This window comes from Homo sapiens, chromosome 18 (assembly GCF_000001405.40).
Source record: "Homo sapiens chromosome 18, GRCh38.p14 Primary Assembly".
Taxonomy (NCBI): Eukaryota; Metazoa; Chordata; class Mammalia; order Primates; family Hominidae; genus Homo; species Homo sapiens.
This window is the reverse complement of record NC_000018.10, coordinates 74,764,372-74,777,835: the sequence shown is the minus strand read 5'-3', so window position 1 is coordinate 74,777,835 and position 13,464 is coordinate 74,764,372. Positions and strand designations below refer to the sequence as shown.

Sequence of the window (13,464 nt, the reverse complement as noted above, 5' to 3'; positions counted from 1 at the left end):
TCCTGGGATTACAGGTGTGAGCCACCACACCTAGCCTCAGCTTCCATTTCAATAGCACTCCTGTCTGCTCTGTTTTGAGTGAATGAGAGAGAGAGAGAGAGAGAGTGCGATCGATCAACAGTCTCTTGGAATAATCCAGGCAAAGATGATAGTGACCTGGACAAAGGCTAGCAGTGAAGACGTGGTCAGATTTGGGATATATATTTGTAATCAGAGCTAACCAAATTTCTATATGGATTGGATATAGAGTCTGAAAGAGAAATCAAAGAAATGATCCATTTTTGGCTTAAGAGAAATTGAGCTGTTTTGAAGGAGATCAGTCTGGGACATGTTCATGAGGAAGCCTACTGAACATCCAAGAGCCCGTGGAACAGGAGGCCAACTCTACTGCTTGAGGCCAAGATCCATGCTAGAACTGCTCTTGCTCAAGTCATCCATTTGCAAGCATCTAATCATCTGAAGGAACACCTTTAAATAAAAAATAATACTGTTTTTAAAATATTGATCGACTTACAAGTATCCGTAAATGCCTGACACAGTACAACTTAAAATTTGTTTTGGTGTAAAAACAGCAATGCAGTAGTAATGCCTACACTCCAGTTTAAAAAAAAAAATCTTATTTTAACAATATTTCAAAATAAATTCTTGTACACTACATACCATATAATAAAGACCTATTTCTTCAGTCCTTTAGGTTTTATCACTACAAAATTATTTCAATTTGAGAGTCATGGGAGATGATCTAACTCATCTATTAAAGCACATACAGCTCAGCTGACCCTTGAACAACACGAGTCTGAACTGCACAAGTCCACTTCTGCTACGATTTTCTCCCACCTCTGCCACCCTTGACACAGTAAGGCCAACCTCTCCCTCCTACTCCTCAGCCCACTTAATGCGACGATCAAAAGGATGAAGTCCTTTATGATGAGCCACTGCCACTTAAAGAATACTAAATATACACATTTTCTTCCCTATGATTATCTTAATAACGTTTTCTCTAACTTATTTTATTGTAAGAATACAGCATATAATACATATACAGAATGTGTTCATCTGCGGTTCATGTTATTGGTAAGGCTTCTGATCGACAATAGGCTGTTAGTAGTTACGTTTTTGAGGAGTCAAAACTTATACTTGGATTTTTTACTGCATGGGGGTTTGGCTGTGTTTCTCTTGTGCCAAACAGTTTCCTATGGATGACTGTTCTTCAGGATGACAACAGAAATGTTACCAAAAAGTAGGGGTAGGGGGAATTTTCAAATAAGTTTGGATAACACTAGGTTTAAAAAGTGAAGTTCTGTAGACTTCTCAGTCATGTGTGTGCTGATTAGCACGGTGAAATGGAAAGAAATAGGAGATCTGCATAGTATTTTCTAATCTTACCGGACCACTAAATATTTCTGTCATAGAAAACATCTACTAGAACTGTGGCTTCAGGAAACAATTTAGAAAATGCTTACAGGACTCAGTCAGGGCTTCTACAACAAAATACCTGAGACTGGATAAGTTATAAAGAACAGACATTTATTGCTTACAGTTCTGGAGGCTGGAAGGTCCAAGATCAACGTGCCAGGAGATTCAGTGTGTAATGAAGGCCCGTTCCCCTTAGGGCGTCTTCTATGTGTCCACACAAGGCAGAAGGGGCAAACAGGTTCCCTTAAGCCTTTCTTATAAGGACACTAATCCCATTCCTGAAGGCTCTGCCCTCCCAAAATCAGCTCCCAAATGCTCCAACTAATTAATACTATGGCACTGGGGATTAGGTATTGATATGGTTTGATTCTGCGTTCCTGCCCGAAGCTCAGGCTGAATTGCAATCCGCAATGTTAAAGGTGGGGCCTGGTGGGTGGTGATTGGTCACGGAGGCAGATTTCTAACGAGCAGTTTAGCGTCAGCCTCGGTACTGTAGAGAGCTCGCAAGATCTGGTGGTTTAAAAGTGTGTAAAACATCCGCCCTCTCTCTCTCTTGCTCCTGCTCCAGCCATGTGAGACATGTCACCCCACTTTAACTTTCTGCCATGACTGTAAGTTCCTGGAGGCCTCCCTGGAAGCCAAGCAGCTGCCAGGACGATGCTTCCTCTACAGGCTGCAGAACCATGAGCCAATTAAACCTCCTTTCTTTATAAATTACTCAGCGTCAGGTATTTCTTTATAGCCATGCGAGAACAGCCTAATACAGGTATCAACATGGGAATTTTGGAGGGACACAAGCATTCAGAGCATGGTGAAGTTGCTGTCGAGTATGAGGACTGGTTTCAAACTTCTGATTCACACAACTATAAGAAAATAGATTTGTGGGAACTGACAAATATGTGAGAAACTATCTGATAATGTCTACTCAGATTACCACATACTGCACTTGCAGTTGACATCATCAGAATTTGATTACAAAGTACTGATTCAGTCCAAGAAACAGTCACGAATAATTTAAATAAACATTGTATGGCTAGCTATGTAACACAGTTGAACTATGATCTAAACATTGTATCCAGCTTACAGTTGTGTCATCATACTCTCACAAATACTGTTCCGACCTGAGCAGCAAAAGATGGGTGTGAAGGGTGGAGTGGAATAGATAATACTGACATGGGACAAAATAGGTAAAGAAAAACTAATAATAATCCAAGTAGAAACCTTCCAGCAACAATCCTAGCAGACAGAAAGGATAAATAATTATTTTACAAAGTTTTGATAAACAACTTCATATCTAATTTTATGTTGAAGGTTTATCCTTTTATCTATCACACTTTTATTTTTTAATTGTGAACTGTTCTTTTTCTTAGCTTCTTTCTTGAAAAAAGTTAAGACTTGGAAAAGTTGAAAAGACAATACATGAAATACTTGTACCCTCTCCAAACCGGCTCACCACTAACGTTTTGGGATGCCTGCTTCCTTGCTCTCTCTCACTAAGAATGTATTAATACGTACTTTTTCTTTATTTTAGGTCATCTTAAAGTAAGTTACTGAGATGACACTTTTCCCCTAAAACTTCAGCACACAACTCCAAAGAAAGACATTTTTCTACCCATTGTGGATCAAGATCACACTCAAGAAAATACTGACTCAGTAATATCTACTACACAGTCTATAAGACACACTCACTGTGTTTCGTCACGTCTCCTTCATCTCCTTTCATCTACAACTACCCTCGTTTTCTTTATTTGTATAGTGACAAAAACTCTGAGTAACCTAACTTATAATAATGTCCCACATATGGTATGTCTGATTGTTTCCTCATGATTTGATTCAGTTTAAACATTTTTGGCAAGAACATCACCTACGAATGTTGGGTACTTCCAATTACATAGTATCAGGATAAAAGTAACGTCAGGTTCACATTCCATTATGCTAAACTTGACTATTTGTTTAAGGTAGTAATCTCGAAATTTCTTCAATATAAATACTTACTTGCCATTTGTAATTAAGTAATCTGTAGGTGATATTTTGATATTGTGTGAGTATCCTGTTCACTAACAACCTTCTCCCAATGGCATAGGCACCCATTAATGAATCTTGCCTAACTCGATTATTCTGAAGGCTACAAAATACCAATGTTCTATCATTCCTTCTATTTTAGTTAGCTAGCATTCTTTGATAGAGAGACTTAACCATTTTCCCCAATCTTTTTGTGACATACTCTCTCACCCTCACTTTCTTTCTAAAGCACTTTATCTGGACTCTTGGATTTTATACCATATTTTATAATCTATTACCGTAATTATGTCTTGTAATTCTCAAATTTTCCCAAAATTGGCCAGTGGAAACTCTTCAAAGTTGGCTACTATGTTTATTTGACATCACTTCTCTTACTGTTGGGTTCTTCCTTATTTTCTAGTACAACCAGCCTTCCAGGCCCAACAGTCACTGTCCATGCTCCAGACCTGCAATCAGTCCTGGTTTCTTATAGTAGGTAGTGGTGTTTATAAAGCAAGACCTGGGTGCTAACTCTGATCACTGCTACTGGAGTATCATGGAGTCTAAGCCCTTTCAATCCACAAAGCTAGGAAATAAATGAATATACAAACAAACACATACATTGTGGGCACAGAAGGAAATATACACAGAGGATTTCAACTGTAATGGCCACGTTTGGTAAATGAGTGCTCACTGCAACAATCAGTATATCTTTTCATTATTCTAAAATGTGTTATAATAAATTTTCTGGTGGTACAAAATACATTACTGTAAATGAATCACATTTTAGCTTTTGCAGGACAGCATTCTATTCAAACAATTATTCGCATAAAACTTTAGTGTAAAGGTGTTACTTACTACTTCTTTAAGCTCTCTAGTAACTTGGCTTCCACTGATAGTTCCAAACCACTTTTGATCACTTCCTCTTTCATACTATTGTCAATCTCTTCTTTAAGCTCTCTAATAACTTGGCTTCTACTGATAGTTCCAAACCACTTCTGATCACTTCTTCTTTGATACTATTGTCAATTTCTTCTTTAAGCTCTCTAGTAACTTGGCTTCTACTGATAGTTCCAAACCACTTCTGATCACTTCCTCTTTCATACTATTGTCAATTTCTTCTTTAAGCTCTCTAATAACTTGGCTTCTACTGATAGTTCCAAACCACTTCTGATCACTTCCTCTTTCATACTATTGTCGATTCTCGTTCCTCATCTTATCCTCTAAGGGTGATATATTTGTTCATATACATTCATATTTCAAAGGTATAATTTATTTCCTGGGCTTCAAGCATAACCTCCTTGTGGATGACACTAAAATATTTATTTCCACCCATGGCCTTTCCAGGATATTTTTTCTTGTCTGCATTGACAATATTGTAAAGCACGTCCAACATTCAGTCATGATTGTTCCACGCTAATGATCTCCTGCAGAATTTCTGAATTCTATCAATTGTACCACCTTCCCGATTTAGTAATCTTATACTCATGTTCATACATCATCAATTGTTTCTTCATAATTTTTTGCTACCAAGACTTTTCTTTTTCCATTTTAAATGAACTAGTTCAAACCATTATGTCTGAGTACCACAGCTACAAGGCACTCTCCCATACAATTCACTCCACATACCCCCGTGACACACCTTCCTATAAATATGTTCAGGTCATGCCTCAGCTCAAAAACCTGTTATAATTCCCTTCTGAACTGGATAAGCACCAAATCTTAAGCAAACAAATAATAGTCTTCAACAGTCATTCAAAATCAGGTATTCTAACTGCTGAAATATGCACTCCAAAAATAATATGAAATAAAAGATAAAAAGCTACAATCCAACTGAAAAGTGAAAGCAACCTAAAAGTTCAATAGCATTGGCACAATCATGGTATAATATTATGCATCAACTGAAAATATAGAAAGCTGCTCATGATAGCTTAGATTTTAAAAGGACAAAAAATACTACATACAACAAATCCTATGTGTGTTTATTCTTGTATTCTGACATATACATGAACAAATATATACATGAAAAGAAGCCAACATCAACCAAATTCACTCTGACATGGGATTTAGATTTAGATGATTTATAGGGTTGTTTTTCTATAAGTAAAATCTGTAATTTAAAAAAGCAACAAATAATATATTGCTTATAGTTACAGATGTATAGTTTATACAACAGTTTTATATGTCTCCTCAATGGCTACCCAAGAGTGTATGAGCATGCAGTTTGGGCATAATCAGATCACCCTGAAAGAGGACGAAAGTGGGGCTCAGACAAGATAAGTGACTTTGACTTTTTCAAGAAAATGGGGCAAAGAAGCTGAAAATGCAAAAGTAGAATTCATGCCTGGTGACCTTTATACAGAAGTCTCTCCACCACTCCATACTTCTTGCCTAATGAAAGATTATAGCCTCATAGAAAGTAAGAAAAATGAAACTACTACTGAAATAAAACTGTTCAAAAATAAAACCACTACATTACTTTCCTAAATGAATGTGAATTATCCAAGCTAATGAATGACAAATCTAGTAATTGATATAAGCATAGAGATTTTTTTTTAAGATTTGCTGGGATTAAGTATACACAATATTTTTAAAAGAAAATACTTATATGATGAAGAGAAAAACTAAAAATTAATGACCTATGAAACAAGTCAGACAAAAATAAATACCACACAATCAGTTATCAAGAATAATTATGCTTAAAAATAAAGATGATCATTTCTTAAAGAACAGCCAATTGAGATAGATTGCACCAGTTTTATCATAAACAAAATCAAAATAAATATATTTTATTTTTAAAGTGTCAGAAACCTGGGGCATACTATAATTTGTTGTTAACATGTAAAATATGTTAGATAATATAAAACTGAAATTATTAAAGACTTCATTTTTATAACATATAAGATGAAATACATTATCTAACATCCTAAATATGTTTGTAAGCAGGTTCATATTATATTGTTTAATCAAGACTTCAGGAAAGAATTTTTCTCACCTACTTCTCTTACCTATTAATGAGCATGTTAAATAAACAATACGGAAAAACCTGCAGTTCAAAGGTATTCAAATCTGTCAGAAATTTACCTTACAAACAAAGGGGGAAAACTATGATTATATGAAATTTGTTTACTCCAAAATTCATAAGTTAACAGGTGTTACATAACATTTAATAATTATATTTCTTAAACTCTTACCAAATCATTGATAGGCCAAAATAATTATCTTTATTTCTCAAATATATTCTGACACAATTCCCTTGAATGTTATACCGCTTTTGGTTTTAATTACCATACAGAATCCACCATTTTCACATGTGAAATGTACCCTTGTAATTTTATATCAAGCAACTTGTTTCAAATACAAATTACCAACATTCTAAAATTTAAAATATCTGAAAATTCTTTATAATTATTATTTTCCTGGATGACTCTGCTGGTCCTTGAAAATAAATGCTATTATATTTAATGAAAATCTCTATGAAGAGACAAAAGTTAGAATTTTTTGCTTATTCATAAGAAATAAACTTTTCTTAAATTTCACACCTCTCCTGAGAATAGGCATTCTGCATACAGAAAAACTGCAGTAACCTTTTAGATATTATAAAATGCTAGCTACAACACACATAAATGTTCAAGAATCTGAGAGCTTATTTGATAAACATATACACACCCCACACACACATGCATACAAACACACACCTACCCACAATTTCCCGGAGCAAATGAAGCTATTCAGCAAGGTTGTACTGCTTTATTTCAAGGGTCAATTCCATTGCCACTTAATGAGGGTCCATATGAAGATTTAACTATTCTAAGAACTGTAAATAATATTATACTTCAAGACATTAAGAGTACATTGTAGACTTCCAAATATTAACCAGGTTCTTAATAATAAAAGCATTAAGGTTATTTTATTCTTGTTTTTTTTCGTTGGAAAAGAGGGAGACTGCCAAGCTCTGGGTTGTTCTGTAGCTTTTGTTTGTTTTTTGAGGTTTTCTTGAGAGAAAGGTTGGTTATTTTTTTGAGACAGGGACTCCCTCTGTTACCCAGGCTGACTACAGTGGCACAATCATGGCTCAATGCAGCCTTCACCTTCCAGACTCAAGCGATTCTCCCACTTCAGCCTCCCAAGTAACTAATACTACAGGTGAGCATACCACACCCAGCTAATTTTTATTTTTTGTAGAGGCAGGGTCTTGCTATGTTGTCCAAGCTGGTCTCAAACTACTAGACTCAACTGATCCTCCCAATTCAGACTCCCAAACTGCTGGGATTACAGGCATAAGCCACCATTCCCAGCTTCCAAGTTTTGTTGTATGCTTCATGTGAACCAACTTACCTAACCCTCACCACATCTCATTTTCCAGATGAAAAACCTGAGGTGCATATCCATTAAGCCCCCAAAGACTGCAAGCTCCTAAGTGGCAGAGTCAGAATGTGCCCCAGGCTGTCTCCTCAAAGCCCACAGACCACACTCACCCCTCAACTGTCCTGTGTCTCTCTCCCTCTTATAAACTTCAGTCAGGTATAGGCCTAGTTTCAGGTGTCTGCTGCATTATTTTTCAATTACAAAGTTATTTTCCAACAACTAAGTAAATCAGTGATGAAAGTGTATATTATTTTTGAGTTTGAGACACAGATAGTAGAAGTTCAGTGAAAAATGCTCCAGTCTAGAGTTGAAAACCCGCATCTAGTCTAGGCGCTTGCATCCCACATGCAAAAACCTGCATCTAGTCTAGGCCAACATGGCCTTGGTTAAGTTAAACATGACATGTGAGACGAAATGAGATCATTAATGTCTGAATTGTTTTAAAAAATACAATGAATTTTGTAAACAACTGTATTAGTGATAAACTATAAAATGGGAATTGCCATGACCAATTGAAATCTCCAGCAGGGGAATCAAAAACAAACTCTATGAGACATGTTTATGAATGGTTATCATGTACAAAGACAGTATGAGCCAAAGAGGTACTTATCATAAGAGATACTCATTGGAAACTTTCAAAAACAGCTCTGTAAAGAACCCTTTGCCTAGAGCTACCTCAACTCTTCTGAAGGAGGTAAAACATTGGTGGGGCCTTCTGTTAATGTAAGATAGTAACCTGAGAATGCAAAGTGCTAACACAGTCAACAGGAATTAAAATACACACACAGATGTGCTTGGTATATTAAATCATTTGACAGTAGGCCATAAAAGAATATCACTGAGGGTCAGGGCAAAGCCTGATGTCAAAGAAACTTGGGCTGAATCTGGGCCTTCCCTATGACTGGATAAGGACATTATCTCTCTTCCCTAGGGTTGCTATGAAGATTAAATGAGATGAGGTAAGGCGAAGACTTACTGTAGTGCCTAGCACAGTAATTCCTCTGGAATTGTTAGCCCACTGCAATGATGATGATAATGATGACAATGACGACGATGACCATGACTAAGAAGAGGACCCCAAAGACAAGAGGAAGGATGGCAGACAGAACACACACTGTAGCATTGCACTGGCTGACAGGACTCTATAAATATCATTTTCATCCTTCCAGGATAAAAGAGGGCCATGCAAATATTAAAAATAAATAGTGATGAAATTTAGCATATTAGTGAGAGAACACTATGGCCAAAGAGGGTAATAAATGTTTAATGCGGATTATTGAAGATAAAACCACAACTGTAGTAGATACACATTACGGTATTACTAGCCTCAACTTATAAATGAGAAAATTGAGGCCTACTGGAATATAACAACGGTGTAAGAAAAATCTATCTATCTATATACAGTATACAGAAGTCTAGAGTAAAATTCCTAGGTATTTCAAGAAATTCAGTAAGTCTCAAAGAATTATGGCTATTAATAAATTAAGAGTTTTCCTATCCAAGCATATAATTCTGGTATTGTCCTTATTGATTAAATGTGCAGGAGCTAAAACACATGAGGGTGTTCCTGTCAAGGAATAAAACACCAATCAATAAATCCACCAAAAAAGGGATTTCCACATTTACATGTAATTTGTCTTCAAATTTCTTCCCTGATATTTTATGTAAATTGACACTACGATCACATGTAATGCAGCAGACATCAATGAGTCAATGAAAACCAACACCTGTTTCCAATCTTGTCTAAGAGGGATCTAGGAATAGCTGAGCCTAAACTGACCAGCACTCCATACTTGACTGAACATCAGGGAGAAATGTTCTTGGGTAATCAAGGAGCTTGCAGGCGAGATGTGCCAACCTGTCCAACAGCTCTACTTCCAAGACTAGTGCAAGGACTCTGGCTTAAGGGTACTTTTAAAAAATAAGACTTCTTCATTTAATGCTTTAAAAATACTATTTGGCAAATAGGTATATTCAAGTTGTAATTTATGTGAAAATGAATTGAAGGTACCCACCATACACATTCAATATATATATGCAGAGAAAATATATTAAATTATTTTGAAACAAAAAATGAGAACTCAGGGGCAGGGCGCAGTAGCTCACGCCTGTAATCCCAGCACTTGGGAGGCCAAGGTGGGTGGATCATGAGGTCAGGAAATCGAGACCATCCTGGCAAACACGGTGAAACCCCGTCTCTACTAAAAATACAAAAAAAAAAAAAAAAAAATTAGCCAGGCGTGGTGGCAGGCGCCTCTAGTCCCAGCTACTCAGGAGGCTGAGGCAGGAGAATGGCATGAACCCGGGAGACGGAGCTTGCAGTGAGCCGAAATCGCACCACTGCATTCCAGCCTGGGCAACAGAGCGAGACTCCATCTCAAAAAAAAAAAAAAAAAAAAAAGAGAATTCAGAATTATACAATCTAATTCTGAACATATTTAGCAGGAAAATAACATGAGATATATATGCAGATAATATATCCTCTGTGTCTTGTATTGAGGTTTACATATATTAGAGTTAAGATAAATATTTTCCATGAAATACAATTATACAAAAATTAGAACACAATAGGATGCACTTAATAATAAAAGTTTATAAAACAGAATATAATCTGTATATAGAACAGAATATAATCTGTAATATTCAGCAGGTATATGAAAAACATGCAGTGCTTCCGGAAGATCATCATCATCAATTACCGCAACATTGGCGAGATGCAGAAGTTATCAATTAAGAAGAATTACGGTTGAATTACTTTCCTATAACAATTTGTAATAAACTAAGTGAATCTATTAAAATAAGAAAGACTCAGGAATCTTTTTAATAATAACGAAGTCAGGACCAGGCACGGTAGCTCACACCTGTAGTCCCAGCACTTTGGGAGGCCGACGCAGGTGGATCACCTGAGGTCAGGAGATCGAGGCCAGCCTGATCAACATGGCAAAACCCTGTCTCTACTAAAAATACAAAAATTAGCCAGGCATGATGGTGCGCACCTGTGGTACCAGCTACTTGGGATGCTGAGACAGGAGAATCGCTTGAAGCTGGCAGACGGAGGTTGCAGTGAGCAGAGACTGTGCCACCGCACTCCAGCCTGAGTGACAGAGTGAGACTCTATCTCAAAAGAAAATGAAAAGAAGAAATTTAAAAAAATAAAAATTGTTGGGATTAGTTTATTTCCCAGTTTTAGTCCCCTTATCATCTAAAATAATATGTGTTAACGATGTTATCTTTAGAACTCATTTTAAAAGCTACAGGCAGCAAAGAGAAAATGTAAATTGAAGAACGAATAACCCTAAAAACAAAACATGGCTAGTGTATTCCCTTTTGGTAATAGGCTAGCATGTTGTTGATTGTGTACTGAACATGTACATCATGTTGGCTAGAAGTGTATCTTCTTTTTTTCTTTAGTTAGAGATTAAATACGCCTTACAAAGATGGGGCTCAGTAACATGACAACTTGGCTTAGCCAAATTCCATTTCCTAGAATTTGCTTCCCTAGATGTAGCTGGTTAAGAAAAGCCAGCAGAGAAATACCAGTATGAAATAAGCAGGGCAGATGTGAAACCATAGCGCGCAGGCATTGCCACATAGATCATCTCATCATCACAAGACAACAACCAAACCTTTGACCACTCTCCACAATCCTGGGAAAGCTTCTACATCAGCTTCTCTGACTCCTGAACCTCATGGGTAAGTTTAAGAAGCATAGGATGGGACCCAGCTTCTGTGGAATCCCATACCACCACTGTCCAAGGCTATGAGCTCCCACTCATGCCTGTGGGTCCCCCAAGTTCTCATTCTCCCTCATGTCACATCCCTCCTCACTTCTCAACTGCCTGCCCTGTGGGTTTCAAGGTCCAACATCAGATGTGATGACAACGCCTTACAGAGACTAGTTAAAAAGCTCCCATTGTTGCATGAGACCAAATTTCTGTAACAAGTATATTAACTTTATTCACACAGCCACACACACACAGACACACAGACACAGACACACACACACACACACACACACACACACACACACACACACACACAGAGTAATATGCGTATATCACAGTGGCTCTAAATGTCTGAGTGAATCCTGACTGATTTGGGGTTTAGAAGATAGAGTAATCAGAACCAGTTTTATCCTTCCCATTGATTAAAAAAAAATCCAAAAAATGTATGAAATAACAACTTTTAAGAAATAGCACATCAGGTAAAGAAAGACAATGATCTCAAAGAGCCAGCTGTCAGACAGTGTAACGAGGTGAGAAACAGAGCTGCAGCTAGGAGAACACAGGGAGGCCAGGCAGCTGGAATGCACAGGGCAGAGAGGTGAGACCCCAATAGAGACAGAACTCTAAAGATCATGGGAAGAGTGCATGGAGGATTCAGCGATTATTGATCAAGACACATATATATGAAGAAGCTACATGAGAGCACGACAAAACACAGAAAGAAAAAAATAGTGTTTGGGCTCACACAGGCTCCCATCAGCCAGACTTGAGAGACCTGCGGGCTCAAGGGGCACACAGCAAGTTCTGTCTCAGAAGTAGAGACAACTAATCCTACACTGAGCACTGTTCTGATCCTGCTTAAAAGCAAAGCAAAAAAATCATTTTCATGTAAATTAACTGCAATCTCAGAACAAGGGTCAAGAATATTTATTGAACTACAAAATAAACAGAAACAACAAAGTAAAATTAACAATGTCTAGAATTCAATGAAAAAATTACCAGGCATGCAAAGAAGTGTAAAAATATGAACAATAATAAGGAGAAAAATCAATCAAATACAACCAACCCAGAATGAACAAAGATATTAAAATTAGGGAACAATAAAACAATTACTATAAATACACAAAACATAATCAAAAGATAAGTACACCCGTCCCTTGGTATTCCTGGGGAATTGGTTCTAGGAACCCTCTGCAGATACCAAACTCCATCCATGCTCAAGTCCCTTACATAAAAATAATGTAGTATAGATGACCCTTGAACAACAAGAATTGGAACTGTGTGGGTCCACTTTTACTATGATTTTCTTCCACCTCTGCCACCCCTGAGACAGGAAGACCAAACCCTCCTGCTTTCCTTCTCCTCAGCCTACTTAATGTGAAGATAATGAGAATGAAGACTTTTATAAGGATTCACTTCCACTTAATAAATAATACACCTATTTCTTATGATTTTCTTAATAACAATTTCTTTTATCAAGCTTAAAGAATAGAGTAATATATACAATATTTATTAACTGGTTGTTTATGTTATCAGTAAGGCTTCTGGTCAACAGTAGGCTACTAGTAGTTGAGTCTGGGGGCAGTTAAAGTTATACACAGATTTTCACCTGCAAGGGAGGTTGGAGCCCCTCACTTCCACATTGTTCAAGGGGCAACTGCTTTTGCACATAACCTATGCACATCCTCCCATATACTTTAGATCATCTCTAGATTACTTACAATACTTAACACAATCTAAAAGCTACATAAATAGTTGTTCTATTGTATTGCTTTTTAATTTCTAGGGTTGTATTATTTTTGTATTTTTCAAGTATTTCTGACCAGCAGTTGGTAGAATCCACAAAAGTAGAACCCAAGGATACAGAGGATCGACTGTAGAGAGATGGAAGATATTTTTTAAAAATCCAAACCACATGTCTAGAAATAAAACACATGAGATAAAAAAATTCATT

General features: G+C 36.9%; 1 protein-coding gene across 8 annotated transcripts in view, besides 1 other annotated feature; it reads right to left on the bottom strand.

Moving 5' to 3' along the window:
• ZNF407 (zinc finger protein 407) overlaps window positions 1-13,464 on the bottom strand; it is a 467,802-nt gene that overhangs the window by 287,836 nt on the left and 166,502 nt on the right. The window lies entirely within an intron of this gene.
• Window positions 4,408-4,617: an enhancer, noted in NCBI's record as "active region_13502". NCBI's record gives its function as "activates an Ori minimal core promoter by ATAC-STARR-seq in GM12878 lymphoblastoid cells {active_cell/tissue: GM12878}" and the evidence as "EXISTENCE:reporter gene assay evidence [ECO:0000049][PMID:35858748]".